General features: G+C 34.0%; 1 protein-coding gene across 6 annotated transcripts in view, besides 2 other annotated features; it reads left to right on the plus strand.

The window, feature by feature from the left end:
- ANO3 (anoctamin 3) overlaps positions 1-20,874 on the plus strand; it is a 474,482-nt gene that overhangs the window by 324,533 nt on the left and 129,075 nt on the right. For 4 of the 6 annotated variants that reach the window (NM_001313726.2, NM_031418.4, XM_017018118.3 and 1 more), the window contains 3 exons: positions 3,487-3,587; positions 12,295-12,339; positions 17,865-17,996. In NM_001313726.2, coding sequence (NP_001300655.1) covers positions 3,487-3,587; positions 12,295-12,339; positions 17,865-17,996 — 278 coding nt within the window. Of the gene's footprint in view, positions 1-3,486; positions 3,588-9,904; positions 9,982-12,294; positions 12,340-17,864; positions 17,997-20,874 lie in introns of those variants that run through there. The other 2 variants (XM_017018119.3, XM_047427399.1) reach the window with 2 other exon arrangements.
- Positions 9,674-10,233: an enhancer, noted in NCBI's record as "OCT4-NANOG hESC enhancer chr11:26544561-26545120 (GRCh37/hg19 assembly coordinates)". NCBI's record gives its function as "activates a minimal SCP1, AML or CMV promoter by ChIP-STARR-seq in naive and primed H9 embryonic stem cells {active_cell/tissue: H9 hESC(naive and primed)}" and the evidence as "EXISTENCE:reporter gene assay evidence [ECO:0000049][PMID:30033119]".
- Positions 10,234-10,793: an enhancer, noted in NCBI's record as "OCT4-NANOG hESC enhancer chr11:26545121-26545680 (GRCh37/hg19 assembly coordinates)". NCBI's record gives its function as "activates a minimal SCP1, AML or CMV promoter by ChIP-STARR-seq in naive H9 embryonic stem cells {active_cell/tissue: H9 hESC(naive)}" and the evidence as "EXISTENCE:reporter gene assay evidence [ECO:0000049][PMID:30033119]".

The raw sequence follows: 20,874 nt of genomic DNA on the forward strand, positions 1-20,874 counted from the left end.
TGAGCAAAGAAGCTGCTTGAAAGTACTGCAGGAGTCCCAACCAAAGATGACGATGATGTAAACCAGAGTGATAGCTGTGAAGGAGGTAGAGAGGGATCAGAATCTGGCTATCTGTACGGTAAAGTAAAACAAATCGGGAACAACCTGGTAGTAGGAGACCCAAGTTTTCCTGCTGTGGAGCTTAAATCTTTCCAGATCTCTTCCAGCGTTCATCAGATATTAGTCACTCTTTCATGTACTCTGGCAACCAACATGACTAGACTTCAGGAACCACGATGTTTAAAAGCGAATGAGACCTCCATTCACACCAGAATAAGGCCCAGCTCCTGAAAAATTATTTCTTGTCCCAAGATCTATCCATTCCACAATAAAAATTTTACTTTCAAATCCTGCAGGGAACCATTAGGAAGAATACAAATGATCAGTGTGTTCTCAAGGTCATGGCTACTCAGTTTTACATAGTCCTACATGTCAAACATCTCAGTCTGGATATAGATTGGTTTTTGTTTGAGTCTAGACTCATTCATCTTCATGAAGGTCACTCCTCCAGCCTCTGGGGAAAATGAGGACTATATAGGTTTTCTGTAATCTTCAGGGTCTCAGTTTCTCTCTCCTTGAATAACCTCTGAATAAGAACTCATATCTCCCCAGGAACAAAAAGTAAAAGTATAGGCATAGAATAATTTAATACATAAAGATGAAAAGGACAAATATTCCAAAGAAACTATAAAGACTACAGAAAGAGTTTTTTTTTTTTAAGAAAATGTATGCCCAGTTCAGAGAAAAACATTTAACTCATCAAGTTAAACCTTGATTCAGGTCACTGTACTTCAGAGTTCTTCCCAAATCATAGGTTAATGCTGCCTTTATGCTTATGCAACACAAAGGTCTATACAGAAGGTTTACAGAGCCAAGGAAGAGGCTCTACCAAAGATGAATTGAGTAGACAAAAAGATTCAAGCTTTGTAAGTCATCATCATTTTGGGTAGTTTCTGATTTGAGAGGTATGCTGTCAACTGAGAAAAAAACATTTCTGGAGAATTTATTAGGCATGGGCACTTTATGAGGTGACCAATCTTTTATAACATTCACACTCTGTGAGGCAGAGATAATTTTCTTCATTTTCCAGATGAGAAAACTGAAGATAAGAGGGGTTAAATAATTTTTCTAAGGCCATAGAGCTAGTAAATGGTAGAGATGGAATTTGTACTTAAGTCTTTGTGATCCCAAATACCATGCTTTTTCATTTATAGCATGTGATTTCTTCCAAGTAGGCAGTAAAGATTGAGGAAATTCAAACTATGCTTGGTGAGAGGCAAGTTGGTGCAACACTGGTAGCCAACACGATGATTTCAAACGAAGGATCTTTGTCATCATCTTACCTAAGAACTTTTGTAAGCATAAAGCAGGAAAATGTATAATAAAACTTAACACGTCTTTCACTTGCCCTGGATGAAGGAGTCATTCAAATAGATGTATGCTTACACTTTACGTTTTAAAAAGTTTTTCTCATCTTTATCATTCCTTCACAAAAACCTTTTCACCAAATTTGGAAGATTCACTAAAAGAGAATGGAAAAAAAGTCACGGTCTTCTCTTTTCTCTGATCAGTGACAGATTTCCAGCTGGGTGATATATTTTTAAACAAATGGTTATTTGAATGAATCAATAGTCACTTTAAAAAAATTATATACATTTTTCCCAAGCATAGATAATATGTGTAACCTTGGTTGGTCTGAATTCAAAGACCTATAGATATTTGAGATATATTATGTTTACTTCTGGCATTGTCAATTTTCATTTTAATAATCCTTTGTCTTTAATTTGAAACAAATGTATTTTAAATAGGAAAAGTCCTTTGGAATTTGCACTGACATGAAAGCATCTTAAGCTATTTTCCCATGTTGATTTGCAAAATACTAGTGTCTCAGTAAGCTATTGAGAAAAATCAATCCTTGATCCAGAAGTTTGGAAATTCAGCATACTTTATCTCCTGCTTGGATATTTTTTTAGCAAATGCATGCATATTAAAGTGTCTTAGAAGTCCTCTAATGAGAAACCAAAACTTTAATCATGGAATGAGCCCCCACTTGTTTGCTTCTAATACTCTATGGAAAGGGTAGCCATGCTGCCTTCTAGGTTTGAATATTAGGCCAATGACATTGGTTCTCTAAGTATTGTTTAGAAACATTGGTAATACAAAAATAAAATATCGTCTGGCAAATCCATGAAACTAGCCCTGCTTAGAATTTGGGGCTATAGTAGTATATGCATATGAAAATGTTATAGTTTAATTTTAAAACATATATGATTTTAAATTAAATTCAATAATTCTACCCTACTCTTGAGCTTTTAAGATTCATATGTTTCTTGATAAATTACATCTAATGGAAATATAATGAACAGTGTTAATCAAATGGAGCTCAGCTGTGTCTAACCTGGTGGGTGCATCTAAAGGGAAGCAAACAACAGTTCTTTTATTTCAGATGTTTTGCTCCTATAATCACATGAAGGATAAGCTCTGTGTAATTCAGTGTTAGAATGGACATAAACTTGTTCCATGCTCTATGAACCTCAGATATTGTAGGAACTTCAGGGAATAACTGTGTTGGCTTTCTTTCAAAGCAGGGTCGAATATGAACATGAGTGATGTATGATGCCTAGGTAGTCAGTTGTTTATTTACTTATTTTAGACTACTGAACAAAAGCTAAGTATCGTGATGATTCTCTTATTCAAAAGGGTATCAGATTCTCTGAGTATAGCAGTATGATCAAAATATGCAAATAATCCTGCAATTTCCAAGAATTAAACCACAGTACCCCATTTTGTAAAAGCTCTTTACATAATCCTTATGCATACTTGACTCTGCTTAAAAACCTTTTGTCTAGTCAAAGACACTTTAGTTCTTATTTGTTGATACAAGTAAAACTGGATGAAAAGATGAAAGAAAGAAAGCAAATATGACGACTCTACGAGATAACAGACTTTTACAATTTATACCCAGTTTTTTCCAGTATTATCACAGGACCAAGCACATAGTTTGAGGACCTAGTAGGTACTCAGTAAAATGTGGTAGAAAAATTAGTGAACTAGTTAATAAATGACTAGTGGTAACTGGCAGTGTTTTCTTCCCCCTCTGAACAGGAATGGGGTCATGATAAAAAGCCCATCAAAAATAACTTCAGATTTTTAATTGGCTCATGATTGATTGTTCTGATTGGGGATTCTGCAGGTTGAAAATCATCAATGTAAGAAAATGCACTAATGCACATAGGTGGTTATTTCTTCTACACGATGTCATTATTACATTTTTATCAAGGTCTTTCTTCATTAAGATTTTTTTTATCCATATAAATTTCTTTTAAATCAGTGTCAGTGATCATGCATAGTCAAGGGGACAATGTTCTTTATTCCCAAATCAAACTGTGGCATGATATCATCAGCTCTGATTCTAAATAATGTTGCCTATCTTACTATCATTTGCAGCCAGCTATTGCAAGCCCCGATATCATGTTTATTAAAATTCACATTCCATGGGACACGCTGTGCAAGTATGCAGAGAGGCTGAATATCAGGATGCCCTTCAGGTACTTTCAAATTTTACTTTATTTTATCTCAATATATATTAAAATGAGTCTATCTTTGCATCACCTTAGAGCAACAAATGCAACCCCTTCTACAGAGAAAATGCTTTTTCTTTCAAAATTTCAGTTATTCTGGACAGTTTTTTTTTCTTCCTAATTTGTTTGCCTAATTTGGTAAACTTTCTGATTTCCTGGACACTATGTCATTTCAAGGTGGACCTGCCTAGTGGGAGAGTAAAACAGTTATTTTCAATTTTAACTTACAACAATTCCCAAGATCAGTCTCACTCCTTATTTCATATGGGTGGGCAGAACTCTTTTTAGTTTTGTGGAAGGCAGAAAGTATAAGTGCATAGCATTTTCTTCGTATGTAAATTGTTCTTCTCTGTATAGTCATTAGCAAGAATCATTTCTCAAGTCAATGCAACCAGGAAGGTTTCTTAATTCTGTCCTCAATAACAAGAAATAAATGGTAATAAGAGGACTGCTTCTTTCAAAGATTTTTCAGTCCTTCCTTTAGGCAAGTAAAGATTAAATAGACATCCGTTTCCCTATATTGAGTATCTTGTGTTTTATGCAGAATGTGTCACTTTCCTCCATCATTTCTCACAGTAAAATTCAACAATGCTCTTACTATGCAAAGTATTTACTCATATTAAAGACATGAACATGTACACTGATGTGGAGCTTAATATGCTTCCTCAGTTGCTATGGTTTTAAAAGGTTCAGCACAAACAGAATGCCAAGTAAGAGCCTCTAGATAATGAATATAAGTGAAAATTAAGTGCAATTCAAAAATATGGAGAAATTTCTCAGACCTGCTAGCATAAAAGAGTCCAACTCTGGTAGAAGTGCTGATATTCTCAAATATTGTGACAAGCCTCTACAGTATTCAACGTAAAATGTGAGGTATTGAGCCTCATCTTCTTAGTCATTTAAAACACGTAGGGCTCGAAAGATGCAACCATAGTCATTGCCCATAAATCAGAAATTAAGTGTTGGAAACTACTAAGGAATCCTCTTGACAATATTAGAATTAAACACCTAAATTAGCTTATATTCATGCTTGGCTAAGGGTTTAAAAATTCTCTATAGACTTGATATTTAGAATATATGCAAATAGTTCCTCAAGGATCTTGGCAAAAAAAGAATAAAATTTAAAAAAAGATAAATAAAGGAAATAATATTCTTTCCAATTCCTCAGCACCTAATAAACTAATTTTGAGAGTACAGCTAGGTAAGTTTGCATTTGTGCTAAACAACATTTCTTGAGTTCTGGAATTTTTCTATCTTCATGCTATAACCTTCTAAAAAGTCTTTTAAAATACTTGACTGGGACTTATTACAGATGATAATATACAATATTAATAATATGCTGATAATGGCAGGAATACTTGCTCTTTGCTCAAATTTATTCTCTGGTCTGTGCATATTCATGTTATACAAAACCATGCAGAATAAAAACAGTGAAGTAAATTTTAAACTCTCAAATAATTTTACAAGTAGCAGTCTTCAAATTTAGCATAGATATGGTTAATAATCACCTTTGTTTTTTCATAGTGGGAGTCAAACTTCGTAAAAATATTCTGAAATTCAATTTGAAAACATTTTCTGTGAGCCTTACAACTTTTCAGACTCCACTTTCTATCTTATGATTATAGTTGAAACATGTATAAAAATATTCACTGAAGTATAATTTATAATTGTGAAAAATAAAATATTTAATATGTTATTAGCGGATATAAGCAAATTAGAATACAACTTTGCAATGAAATATAGTTTATAAAATGAATGGGTACAAAGATTTCTTAGTGATTTTGGGGGAATATTAAATATAAAATTTTAAATAAAATATATAGCATATACAATTATTCATACAAGGTGATTTCATCATGTAAAATATATAGCAATGCAATTAGAAGGAAATATAATAAGAGATGAAAAAGGATTGCTTCTGATGAGTGGGATTGTGGTTCTCAGTTATTTTCTTTATACTCTTACAAAAGTATATATTTTCCACAAGTTCTAATTTGACTGCATTAATGTAAACACAGGATGCAAAAGAATGACACAAGAAAATGACCTGTTTTCTAATATCAGGACAAAATTGCTAAAGAAAAAATCTAATAAATTAATCCTAATTTCAGGATCCTTCATCCTGCCCCATCCTATGAATTCATCATTGTTTCTAAGCATCATAACTGAATTTATGTACAAACTAATTTCCTTGTAGATTAAAGAGGAGGAAGCCCTTAGCAACTATCATAAGCATGTCATTTCAGTACATATCAGTATAAAGTTCAGTTCAGGCTGAATGAATATGGTATAAAATATGCTCAAAGAGAGAGCATGTCTTCCACCTGCCTCCTCTAGACTTCATACAAAACAGATATTTGCCATGATTCCAGAAGATTGGTTCCATTTTTTTATTTCCGTTGTTGGCATTATTTTACTTAGATCTGGCACAGCCACCTATTATTAAGATGTGATTATACTTTCATTTAATAGAATAGTGAATTATAAATACAACCTCAGTGTCTTGATTGGTTTGGGATAGTAGAACAAATTACCACATACTGGATGTCTTAAGCAACAAACATTTACTTGTCACAGTTCTGGACGCTGGAAGTCTGAGATCAAAGTGGCAGCATGGTTGGGCTCTGGTGAGGGCCCTCTTTTGGGTTGTATCCTCACATGGTAGAAGGAGGGCTAGCTAGCTCTCTGCTCTCTCCTCCAATTCATGAGGATTCCACTCTTATGACCTAAATACTTCCCAAAGGCCCCACCTCCAAGAACCATTAAGTATTGGAATTTCAACATGTGAATTTTCGGGAAACACAACTGCTTTGTCTATTGCAATTGGTAACAAATGTTTGCCTTACCCCTAATATTTGACTTTCATAGTTTCAAAAATAGCTTTTCTTTCTTTAACACATGTTCATTCTGCAGTACTCTATCCAGGAAAAGTCTTATAGAGACAATGGGAACACAATTCTATGGTGTAATACTTATCATATTGCTCTTTCCACCATCTCAGTTGGATTTTACTAATTTAAAAAAAAATGGAAGTCAGAGCACGTTTGGCCTCTTCTCTTTTTCCTTATTTCTGCCTTTTCAAATAAACTTCAAGGAACTCTTAGTGATGGAATAATTGTTGTTCCCTTAACTTAGATTTAAAAAATCTTTATCACAATTAATTTCTTTGTTTCTCTTCCTAAGAAGTACATTAAAAACATTCTCTTGCTGGATTGTAAGTGACCTTCCTTTGTATGAATTAGAGCTTAGGTCTTTGGGCTGTGTGCCACAAGTGTTGCTCTGTCCCAAGGGAGATTTTGAAGAGGATGTTTTCTTGACTCAGATCATTTTTAAAAAAACTATATTCATTTTTTAATTACCTGGTAGGAATGCATGTAAAAGAAGAGTTCTACTATATCCAAGGAAAAAATGAAAAAGGGGGGGAAAACATGGAACATGTGCAGTTACTATCCCTTTTAATTGGTGTTTTGCCTGAAGTTTCTTCTTTATAATGTTTTTCAAAAAAATATGATTATTGCATTGTGATCGTGGAAAGTCTTAGAAAATACCGTGGAAATTCTCATGATTTACCAATAAAAATATTTTAAAATATGCAGCATTTTCCAAAGTGTGTCAAAGTATTAGTAGTTCAACAGGATCTTAAAAGAAGAATATACTGTGACCAAATTTGTTTCTGAACTTCTGAGTTAATAAATAAGAATATTTACTGAAAATATTTTTAGAGAAGTGGCTCTCAGTCTTTAGAGCACCTTAAAATGACCTGGGAAGTAATAAAAATGAAGATTTCTGGAACCTGCTCCCAGAGATTCTGGCATATTAGCTTTGGAATGGGATTGGGTATATAAATTTTTAGCAAGCATTCCAAATGTTTGTGATGTCCATGGTAAGGAAATCTTGTCTTGGATATTTTAATATTTTAATAGTCTTTATATATTTTATAAATTTCAAGAGGCAGTTATAAATTGTATAGCCTTTTCCTAATTTCCATGTAATACTGGTGTTCTTGAGAAAAGAGTTTGAGAACTGCTTGGAGTTCTTTTGGAAGATCTTCCCAGACCAGTTTAAATAATGGATGTAACATTAACTCCTTAGGAACTACTTGTCATTTATTTACAATGTACACTGGAAATTTGGGATAGCAGCCAACTCATAATAAAGGAATGCTATTCAAGCATAAACTAAGTGGCAAATTATTTTCGTGATGGCCAATCTAGTCTCCAATTGACAATTGTTAGCATATTCAAGAACAAATACTGCCTTAAAATTAAATTATATAAAATAATAACCTAAATAGGAAACATATGTATCTCTTTTTAGGATAATATTTTTTAAAAATTTATGCATTCAAAATTTTACTCATACAGAGCAGTTCCATATTTATTCAACTTTGAAACCTACCTGTCATATTTAACGAAGTTACAAGATTTGTTAGCTATAATCTTTCTGCAAGTTCTTTTCTTCCTCCTTCTGTCATAAACATGAATCTTGAGCATTTTATCTAAATTTTCTGCTTGGATGTATGTGTAAAATTTTAATTTGCCTACATTTTTCTAGCCACTACTTTCTTGACTTTTCTTTAAAGTAAATATGACCTACATGTTGGACTTGATGTTTCAAGTCTAACCAGGACAATTTCAAAGGTTTATAATAGTCTACATTTTCTAGTTTTTGTCATATCAGGAAGGACTCAGCCTGTGTCTTCTGCATTCCAGACATGTCAGATCATTTTAGCATTTTTCTTGCGATCCAAAGCTGATTCCTATTCATGCTTACCTCTCACACATAAGAGAGTTCAGCACATTTTAAGACAATTCAGTCATCCTGCGGCTTCTCAGATGGAGTACCCAGATAGGGCCAACCTCACATTTTTTGTCAAGCTCTTTCTCCCACAAATATTTTAAACAAAGCAAATTTGGGGCTATATTTGTAAAACATTAAGAGCGGCCGGGCGCGGTGGCTCACGCCTGTAATCCCAGCACTTTGGGAGGCCGAAGCGGGTGGATCAAGAGGTCAGGAGATGGAGACCATCCTGGCTAACACGGTGAAACTCCGTCTCTACTAAATATACAAAAAATTAGCCGGGGGTAGTGGCGGGCGCCTGTAGTCCCAGCTACTCGGGAGGCTGAGGCAAGAGAATGGCGTGAACCCGGGAGGCTGAGCTTGCAGTGAGCCGAGATCGCGCCACTGCACTCCAGCCTGGGCGACAGAGCGAGACTCCATCTCAAAACAAACAAACAGCAACAACAACAACAACAAAAAAAAAACATTAAGAGCAATCATTTTTATCATAATTGGGGTTAAACTTAGATCACTTTTTATGCAAAAATAATATGAAATATAAAATCTAAAGGGAGGCCAATCTATAAAATAGGAGCATGGGGGTCAGGATTTCACTCATTTAACTGTCCTCCTCACTTAGTCCCACAGGCATCTCCACATGTAGCCATTGACTGTGTTGGACTCTGGCTGGAAACAGTGGTTGAGACAATCATTTACTTATAATATGAAGTGATTGTTGTAATAGGTAGATAGATGACTGCAGCCTTGACACAAGGTATAAAATAGCAGAACCTTTCAAATGAAAAATTAAGGGAAAAATAAAGCACCGTACATGAACAGTAGGCAGTTACTAAATTACAGGATGGAAGATTATAGGTAGAAAAGGATTTGGCCCTGCACGTTCATTTATACAGAAGAATTAAGGAGAATTACAGGTTGTTGTTTGCTTCCTGGATCAAAGATATGCAGTATATTGAAAATATAAAAACAAAATTTCCCCCACCCAGAAAACCTCTCCACAAAGATAGAAAAGGAAGAAAACCATTTCGTTATTGAATAAATATTAAACTAGAATGTGATGCATATCATAGTCAATTCACTAAAATTTATAAAGACAGAGGGAAATCTCATTTTTTTTAATATAGCCAAACAAATACAACCTATTGTAAGCGTGTTCTCAAAATAAACAATAAGTAGCCCTATGTTAGTCCGTTTTCATACTGCCATAAAGAACTTCCATGAGACTCGGTAATTTATAAACGGAAATGGTTTAATTGACTCACAATTCTGCATGGCTGGAAAGGCCTTGGAAAGCTTAACAATCATGGTGGAAGGGGAAGCAAGCACCTTTTCCACAAGGTGGCAGTAGAGAAGAAATGAAGAAGGAACTTCCAAACACTTATAAAACCCTCAGATCTCGTGAGAACTCACTCACTATCATGAGAACAGCTTGGGGGAAACCGCTCCCATGATCCAATCACCTCCCTCCTCAACACCTGGGGATTACACTTCGAGATGAGATTTGGGTGGAAACACAAAGCCAAACCGTATCATCACTCATAGTTCATCATAGATTCACCTGGTAATTGGGCTGTTAATTAGCTTCATACGGAAGAGAAATAAAACCTCTCATATCTTTTTGACAGGAGGTAGTTCTGCAACTTGGCGCAAGGCATCCGCCAAAGTTAAGCTCCTACCTCTCACAGAAATGGACAGGGGACTGCTACCTCCCTTCATGTTTACATTTTAAAAAGACGGCTCCTAAATCCTGACAAAAGGCCCATCGCATTTTCTAAAGAATTCATATACATTTCAAAGAGAGGAGAAAGTACTTATAATGGCAAGTTTTCTTAAGTTAATGCTCTCAGAAGAGAAAGGGAGGAGAAGTCTCTTTCGTTTTCAACAGGGAGAATTAAGTCTATTATTTTTCATTTTTATTTGTTCTTACCATATAAGTGTTCTAAAAAGTATTTATATTCATTTTGTATGACTTTCTCCATTTTCTTTATTTCTCCAAAAGCATTTTCTCAAAGTTTTTTAATTGTTTAAGAGAAATATTCAGACTACCATCAATAAAGACAGAGAGTAGTGTTTAGTTCAAATGCCAACCAACCCTCTCCATATTATTTTATAATATTCCTAACCATATCCACTCCTGATAATTACAGTTGTAAACATTATCTCCTTTTAATGATGTCCCTGGATTTATTTGATGCTGGAAATTATTTTATACCAATTTCCATATTTGTAGCTTTTTTGAAAAAAATACTGTATTTAGTAAGTGTTTATGAAATGAAAAATACTCTCTGGCACTGAAAGAGTTAAATGCAACTGTGAATTAAACAAAGGCTCATTCATTTATTCATTGACCATCAGTGAAGAGGTATGTTACATCAGGGAAAATAGTGCAAGACAATATATGTACCGGTGGTTCTGAAGAAAAGATGAGTTTACAGTCCAGTAAGAATTGAGTGAAGTACGCACACAAGCTTTTGTGTATGTTTGAAAAAAATAGAGAAGTATTTAAAGTGTGAGTTTCGGATAGATATAACAAGTTTCAATGTTCCATATTTGAAGTTAGTGTTGGAATATGGCAGGGACAACTTTAAAATTATTTTCTGGCAATATGACTGCAGTGAAATATGGTATCTCCAAAAGTTTGCAGTGAAAGGGACTGCAATGAAATATGGTATCTCCAAAAGTTTTCAAGTTTTCTAAGCAGCTAATAACATACTTAGGGCTAAATATCAGTTGTCCTATTAACCCTGCTTTCTAGGTACCACAGCATAGAGGAGCTTACTGATCCTCTGAAATGAATTTTAGTGATGGGGATAAAGAGGTATTTCAGAAGAGCGAGAATATCAGATTCCTGAGCTCCAACATGAGCATGTAGAGAAAATTATTTAAGAGATGAATTAATTCTGTCACCTTAATTTTTAGTTTCTCTAAGAAATGCTATACCTCTACTTAAAACACTCAATATCTTCCCCTTGCTTTTCATCCAAAAACCTCAGCATTAGCTGTTAAGGCCCGTTATCATCTGTGCCTTGTTTACCATCCTCCACTCTTTTATCAGGATCCTCAACTTTTAGTGTATACTCCAGCTATTACCAAGTTGGTTGCAGTTATCTAAATCTTATAATACTTGGTTTTGTCCCAATGACGACCTCATATGCTGCTACTACCTTTGTCTAGAATGTCATGTGTAACCTCTTTACCCAAAAGACTACTCCCATTCATGCTTCAAGATTCAATACAGGTGACATATCCTCTGGGGCAACATCCCTGTGTCCTTTGTCCTCCACCTGTAAAAACTAATTGAGCTCCCTTTCCTGGGTATTTCCATTCTTGCATTTTCACATTTTATTTTAACTGATGACTTCTCACCTCAACTATCAAGGAAGCTTCTTGAGGGCACAAACTGACCCTACCTCTTTTTTCTCTAAAGTTTTAGTGGTTATAACACTCCTTAGCAAATCAGAAGTATTTATTACATACGTATTAAATGGATGTATAGATGGATGGACGGGAAAATGGAAGGAGGGATGGATGGATGGATGGCCTTATATAATATGTAAGAAAATAATTCAATTAGTATAAATTGAGTGGCAGAAGACAGACTTTCAATAAATAGAATTAAAAATAATTCTATTTTTTCAAAAGTGGTCTGTTGATTTATTAGAGTGTCTTTGTTATTAGTATCTTAGATTCTGAAATTAAAACAATGTAAGGTTGATATTCCTCATAGTATGCTGGGTTATTTCAAACATCTTAAGTTTCTTAAGCATACGGAACTTGGAGTATAGAAATGCTCAATATGATTGAATGTTGTCACTCACTCGTATCACTTTATTTTCCTGTGGCTTTCCTTAGCTGTTTTCTATTATTTTTTCAGGAAAAAATGCTATTACACTGACGGGAGGAGCAAATCAATGGGCAGGTTGGTGGGTGATGAATCATTTCTTTATAACAAATTTGTCGTTTTGAAAAAAATAAGAAGATATTTGATTCCCCATATCAGCAGTTGTAAATCATAGGAAGAAAAATTCTATTGATTTGTCGAAGATATTTCCAAAATAACTTATGCCAAATCGAATAACATTTAAAATCTGATAATCTTTTTGTTACAATTTATCATTGCCATTCTTGGAATCTTCCCATGTTATAATGTTATGGAAGGAGGACTTTAATCGCAAGTTCACATGTTATGATATTTTAATTTTAAAAATAGTTATAAGACCAGGATCAATGTTTAAATGATGACCCACAGTAACAGAACAATAAACCTGACAAAGACCTTCTGTATCATTCAGTCCAGTTCTCTCATTTGAAAGAAGTGGCAAAGATTAGTGTTCAGAGAGATGAGGTGCTTTACCAAGGCCATGTACCGTCTTTTGAATTGCAGACCCACTCTCATTCTAACCCCGGAAGGTACCGCTCTTATCCTAGTATTGAAAACGAACTTTTGAAGAGCTTTACCTCAAAACATTAGCTCTTTACCTATTGTGGTAAGAATAACTATGGAAAAGGAGTCAATCAAACCACTACCCTGAGACAGAAGAAACTCTTCCATCTGAATCTTTTTGTCACTATTTAACTGGAAGAAATCAGCTCCCATTTAATGAATGCTCAAAGAAAAAGCTTCTTACCCTTGGCCGTTTTCTGCACCTTGCCAAAGAACCAGTTAACAAAGATAAAGCATGTGAATGTGGTAGAGTATGCTCCATTAAATGATGTTGAAGGATGTATGTTACAAATCAGAATAACACAAAAGCTAGAACTGTATGGTGTGAATAACAGACCATCTTAGGAAATGATTCAATAAATCTAGTTTCTTTACCAAATAAAATTGAATGTAATTTCAAACTTTTAGAAATCAGAATGGGAAAATGTCCATCTGTTTTAAGCATTAATTTTAGGCGTGGCAGTATTGAGTGACAAGAAAAGTAAATTATGGAGAAAAAAACTTGAAATTAGAATGAATATTAAAGAAATTAGCACTGAAATAGCTTTTCCTCTTTAAATTAATGATGCTCTTCAACCGAGTCACATTTTTCTGTCAGGTTAACATATTTTAATTTGGAATGAGCTCTCATTTCCCATGTGGGTATTTGGTCCTGGTCTATGTAGCAAATTTCCAGTCATTTTTGCTAATAAAATTAGTCATTGGAATATTACAATTTGCAAGTTTACAACTGCAGGTTTTTCTTGTCTTTGCTCTGCATATGCCTGCTTATTGTTGGATGGCTGATAAAATCTCTTGATTTGCTTCAGTTTGCTACTATAGAATTAGTGAGACTTTGCTACTACATAATTAGTAGGTTTTCTGTTAAACAAGAATCTTTCCTTTGGAGACTTGGGAAAGTATATATTCTGTATATTAAAATTGGAACAAATGTCTGTTTATATATAAAGCTATCATGGCAAATGCGTATACTAAATCCTAACGAAACATTTTTAATAATGTAAAAAATGTTCTTTTCTCTGTTTTGGTCAAATGTAAAAGTAAACTAGAAAAATGAACACTATTATATGTCATTACTTGTTTTATCTTTTGTGTTTCTTATTTTCTGTGTAAGTTCATAAAATGAAAATTCAGTTATCATTTATTCCAAATGATTATTAAAATATCTTGAACCTTACTCTAGCCCACCCCTTTTCATTTTACTTATAATAAGTAAATCTCTTTATTCTATGTCTTTGTGGATTCATGTGGGAGAGGTAGGGAATAAATAGAAAAGAAGTCTATAAAATTATATAACATTAAACTGAAAAAAATTACAAAATTTGGAAACTCAATCTGTAGACAGTTTGAAAAGTGGAAAATTGAAATCAAACGTGGCCATTTAGTTTCACTTGTGCTTCTCTTTTCTTGAAGTGGGAAAGGTATTTTCCTCACATGCTTAGTTTTGACCGGTACATATTAGGGGATAAATAATGTACAGGCAGTTGTCCAGCTTTTGAGGATCATCCCTTCTCCAGCAGGTTGAAAGGATGTTGTTGGTTTTATTATCACTGCAATTTATTTTTTATTCAGAAAGCATTTTCACATTCAATTATTAAACCATCTTAAAAATGACTCTGCAAGGGAAGCAGAACAGAGAGTAGCCAGTTTTGCAGATAGGAAAACAAAAAAGACTCCCTTATCATCCCCACCCACACACCCCATGCCCTGCTTTCACAGCTGTTTTGGCAGAGTTTGTGCTTCAGTCAAGTTCCTTTGACCCTTTAATCCAGACTTATTTTCAATTTTCATAGAATTATCTTAGGTTTTCCTGGATTGTAGCAAATAAACCTAAAGCTCTATTTTTGCATTGTGCTGTGATATCTTGGATTTGCAAGACGTCCAACACAATAAAGGTTTAGTAGAGTGTAGATAATGTATTAGATTACACTGGTGGCATGGTGATGGTACTTTTAGTAGTATAAATCATATATCATTATAAACACGTATTGAGTACTTACTATGTTCTGTGCCCCGTGGTGTCAGACAATATTTATTTAATTCTCAAAATATTTCTTTTCAATTAAGAGAAGCAAAACTTAGTGAGGGCCCAAGAAATTAATAAGCTAGATCCTTGCATTGTGGTATTCAAATTTAGGCCAACCATATTTCACTATTAGACTCCATTTACCCCTTCCTTCACAGGAAGTGTATGTGAAAACCTAAAGTGATAATATTGTTTGTTTTCTGTTAACATCACAAATGATGGTCTGAAAACCCTTTTATTCTATTTCTTTTAAAACTATTTAAAATTCACATTTATACTTTGTTTATGATGTAGTCAGAGCAACTAGAGCCTTGGGTGCTGTAGCCTGTCAGCATTTTCTAAGTGTAATTAGAATGCTTCCTTTTATTTGATCCTGCTAGCCTCCTAATGAAGGAGAACAAATGGAATTACTCTCTGTCTTTAGAAATGAGAACCTGAAGCTCAAAGATTAGAAATGTTTAGCCCAATTTCAGTGACCAGCAAATTCAGCACTAGAACACTCATGTTCCAACTCCTACCCCATTGCTTTTTATCAACTATGCTAAATTTAAAAAGCTTGAGTAATTTCTGTGCAGTCTATTCAATGTTTTCTACATGTCTATACATCAACCTCTCCAATGAGGTGATATTTTATTATTTTAAAGGCTGTCTTTGTAATGAGAAGAAGCAAAGTAAACACCTCAAATACTATGTATTTATTATTTTAGGCTAGAAAAAAATGTTTTGGTTCTTCCAAAACCAAAAATGATTTGATAAGTAAGTGATAACCTTACTTGGCAAAGGAAAAATCCAGACTTTCACATACCAAGTCTTGCATTAGGATTTGATTATTATTTCAAATTATACATGGCAATTATAATTTCTATATTATATATATTATTAATAATATATATTATATATAATATATATTATATAATAATATATATTATATATAATATATATTATTAATAATATATATTATATATAATTATATAATATATATTATATAATATAATATATAATATATATTATATAATATATATTATATAATATATATTATATATTATATAATATATAATATATATTATATAATATATATTATATAATATATAATAGTATATAATATATAATAATATATTATATAATAATATATTATATAATAATTATATATTATATATTATTATATATTATATAATAATATATAATAATATATTATATTATTATATAATATCATATATAATATATATGATATTATATAATAATCATATATTACCATAATAGAGTTGAATGAAATAATTCCTGAGATACAATACTTGCTGCCTGCCCACTGCTATACTAATTTTTTTTCTGAAGTTCAAGCAGAGTTGGCCAAAGAAATATTGAGGTGTGTTATATTTAACACTCCTCTAGGAAAATATTCTATCCTGCTATTTGGACTTACTATTGCAGAAGAAGCCAAAAATTTCCCCAGATAGAAACCCATAGTGTGTAAATATTGCAAATGTGTTATTAAACACAGCTATTATTATAGTAACTCTGAATTTAGACTTTCAGAGTCCATCTCTGGAGTCAATAGCTTTCTTCTGTTTCTATTTTCTTTGTAAAATAAATCTGATTTCAATCAGTATATATACCATAATAGAACTAGTTTATGAATGTAATCTAAAGCTGGAGCCAAAGTATCCTGATGTCAGATTTCCCAAACAGTGTCCAAATGGTATATGCCAGGTGTCTATGCTAAACCCGTTACTCAAAGTATAGTCAGTGGTTAGCAATATGAGTGTCCCTTAGCAGCTATGTAGAAATGTGGAATCTCAGTCCCTATCCCAGGCCTATGAATTAGTATCTGCATTTTAACAAGATAATCAAGGTATTCCTATGCCCGTGAGAATCTTAAAAGTCCTGCAAAGGCTTTTTGCCTCAGTGTTCCACATTGTTAATTACCAAGTCTAGAATAAAATACCAATTTACAACTCTCCAGCAAAGTCAGCATTACTTTTATTTTATGTGTGAGGAAACCAAGGCAAGAAGTTAAATAACTTGTACAAGTTTACGTGGCTAGCACAGTGCAATAAATTATAACTCAGTTTTGCTTGACTTTAAAATTTTGCTGTCTACCACACTTATGACTTCCAGTGCCACTAAATGTGTCACAGTCATTTATTTATTTTCAGTTTCCACTTTTCTAGAGCCACAAAGCTGTTTGTTTTAAAAAAAAGCAGGGATTAATATCTATCATCTATCTGTCTGTCTATCTATCTATCTATCTATCTATCTATCTATCTATCTATCATCTATCTATCTACATGTATACACACACCATTTTAATAAATATATTTTGCGCTTAAAAAAAAAAAAACTCTCTTTCTGGCCGGGCGCAGTGGCTCATGCCTATAATCCCAGCACTTTGGGAGGCCGAGGCGGGTGGATCTCGAGGTCAGGAGATCAAGACCTTCCTGGCCAACATGGTGAAGCCTCGTCTCTACCAAAAAAAAATAAAAATAAAAAAATTAGCTGGACTTGGTGGCTCGCGCCTATACTCCCAGCTACTTGGGAGGCTGAGGCAGGAGAATCGCTTGAACCTGGGACGTGGAGGTTGCAGTGAGCCAAGATTGCACCACTGGACTCCAGCCAGGTGACAGAGCGAGACTGTCTCAAAGAAAAAAAACAAAAACAAAAACAAAAACAAAAAATCTCTTTCCTACCACCATCTTTATGTATCCTGTTTCTGAAATCTTTTCCACAATTATTTTATTTTTTCATGAGGATAACATAGTTGTCCTGGAAGAGTTTAAACAACTGCAAGATTTGGTTTGTTTTGCTATTTTCTTCTTTTGTGTGGGAACAGAAGCAATGCACGTGTATGTGTGGTGTGTGTAGGTTTGTGTATCTCTTTTCAAAGAAGTTTCTTTAGTACTTAAGTGAATTGTAGTGGAAGGTAGTCATGGCTTTGGAATACAACCTAATCTAGTTCTCAAATGTGACTTCATTCCAGGATGCAAACTTATTTTAGAAGAATCAAAAACTGGATGGCCCAAAACCCAATGGTTCTTGACAAGTCAGCTTTTCCAGACCTAGAGGAGTCAGACTGCTATACTGGCCCCTTCAGCCGTGCACGGATTCACCAGTGAGTTCCCCTCTTTTTTCATACTGCCTACCTTTATATCTTGGTGGGGCTTGTTTATAGAATAAAAACACCTGGGACCATTTCCATTGTTTACCAAATACGTCAGAGAACTTATCATTGTATTAAAATACACACTTAACTTATAAACAACACTAAGTGAATGTTATTAATTCGCTATCAATTTGATGATTTAGAGACATTCAGTAGTGAATAATTAATTGTAGACCTATGGACTGGTAGTCTAGTTTCTAACACTTTAAAAATAATTACTGTAGTAGTGACTCAGTTAAAATAACAATAATGTTAATAATAATAGGATTACTGTTAATTAGCATGTTTGAGTAATAGATTGCTGTAATAAATAAATAAATTATAATTATAATTGCTTCAATTAACATATATTTATTAATTAAGCTATCTATTTTAGTTCAATCTTATTAAACTAAAATGAATGATAATTTTTAAAGAGATTTGTTTCATTACTGTCTCCATCTACCTACCTACATACATACCTGTTTATTTATTCATGTTTTCATTCAACTAGTATTTATTGTGTTTCTACATCACACAGGTTGTGTATATAAAGGAACTTATGACACAGTTTCTATCTTCAAGGTACACCCAGTCTAATGGGGCAGACAAAAATGTAAATTTATAATTAACTGGGGTAAACATAAAGATAGGAAAAGGCGTGATGTATTGAAGGACTATAGCTATAGGGCCTACGTTGCTATAGGCCATTGTGAATTGAGCTATATTCTGGGATGCAGGAAGTTGAAAGGGTGGATGAAACAGATTTCCAGACCACCAAACATGTAACATAGCCATCAATCAATGGGAAACCCTCCTTTTCCCCATAGCCTATTTATCTCATTACTTATTCTTGGAGGTGTAACTAGAAGCATGCTTTCTAATTCCAGTGATATTGTAGTGGCAGAAGGAATAAAATTCCAAATGACTGTTGGCTTTAGAGAGAGGTGAGAGTTTCACGGAAGCTTTTTCAGCTTTTTGCTGCACTTTTTCAGGACCTTTAAGGATCTGTGATACACCAAATGAAAAACATTCTACTCTTTTTTTTTAAACCCTGAAACCAGAGTAATCTTTGGAAAATATCAGCCACATCATACAACCACCTTTCTTAAGACTCTGAAACAGTTTCCCATTTGTACTTCCAATAAAATTCAAATTTCTTATTATTTACTATGTGGGCATAGATGCCATAGTTACTGCCCAGCACTATCACCCCATCTTCTGCATTTTTTTTCACCTTTTACTCACTCCAGCCATACAAGCCTTGGTTCTATCTGTTGAAAGCTCAAGCTTAGTCCCAACTCAGTCTTTCTTCTTGCTGTTCTCATTGTTTGCCATGCTCTGCCCCAAATCTTCATATGGCGTAGTCCTTCCTGTCATTCAGCTCCTACTCAAACACCACCACCTCCAAGAGACTGGCTCTGAAAATGTGACCTAAAGTGCCCTTGTCCCAGTCATTTTCTATCCCAGTATACAGTTTTCATTTTTCTTCATAGAAATTATCTGAAATTATGTTATTTACTTTTTACTTATGCATCAGCTATTTCATCTCTCTATAATGTAACTCCATGAAAAATTGAATTGATCTGCTTAAAAATTACTTGTTGAGGGAATGCTGAATCAATTTAATGGGGAAAGAGGCAGGTGGACATTCCTTCTCCTACCTACAATTAACAGGACTCTGAATTTGGTACATCCAAGTACAGAGATAAGAATACTGGAGGAATTCAGAGTCTAACAAAATAGACACATGTGCATATTAACTTAAATGATGCAGAGTAAAATCAATGTATTAAGAAAGACAGAAATAAAATGCACGTTTTGTAAGAGAGAGAGCAGCACATCCAAAGGGCAGGATCTGGGATGCCTTTTCAAAGGAAATAGCTCTTTTTGTCGGGTAAAAATATGTAGTGGCATGGGGAGAGAAGAAGAAACAGAGCAAAATCTAAAGAAAAAGAAGCATGGGATTTTAAGGTGATGATATTATGTTGGTACAACATTACTTTTAATGGCAAAAACTGCAATTGCATTTGCACCAACCTAATAATTATACAAATTGACAGATGATTGGATAAATGAAGGCAGAGCTGTTAGACATATAAAACTGAAGACATAAGACTGAAGAGTAGGTTGGAATGCGAGTACCGAGAGCCTTGGAGGAAAATAAGAAATTTAATGATGCTTGTAGAGGAAAGCTGTTGGCACACTAAAAGTAAGGGAGTGCTCTGAAAATCAGAGCTGTGCATTAAAGGTCAGGTGGGAAAACGCAAGGCAAGTTAGGAGGATGTTCTACTCATAATCTAGGCAAGAGGCAATGAGACCCAGAACAAAAAGCTGGAGAGAGACAGTTTAGTCAGAAAAGTTACACCGTTTGCCATCTGTTTGAATATGAGCAGTGTAGATGAAGCAACTATCCTAGAAGACCTTCTAATTCAGGACTACGTGCTTGACACAATGGCGATTTATCACTCACATAGATAGAGTAACTAGAAACAGAAAATGTCAGAAGTTGAGCAAGACCCAGGACACTTCCATTTTTTCGAGATTCCCAGCATACTATAAAGTAAATACTGAAACAGACCCTTCCATCCCTCTTGAGCTCATGCTTTTGCTCTTACATCATTGACTCTCAAATGGTTCTTCATTGCTACTCTTCCCATGGGGACAATAATAGAGCATCAAGGGAAAGGTAGGATGATTTTTCATTGTTAAGGCTCTGAAAACAAGATAAGCTGCATTGGAAAGCATGGTATGGGGGATAACATGAATTTTTGATGTGTTCTATTTGGAAATACATTGCTTAAGGTAGTATAAAATGTATGGGAGCCAATGGGCTATCTATTCTCTC

The sequence above is a fragment of the Homo sapiens genome, chromosome 11, assembly GCF_000001405.40.
Source record: "Homo sapiens chromosome 11, GRCh38.p14 Primary Assembly".
In the NCBI taxonomy this organism is placed as follows: domain Eukaryota; kingdom Metazoa; phylum Chordata; class Mammalia; order Primates; family Hominidae; genus Homo; species Homo sapiens.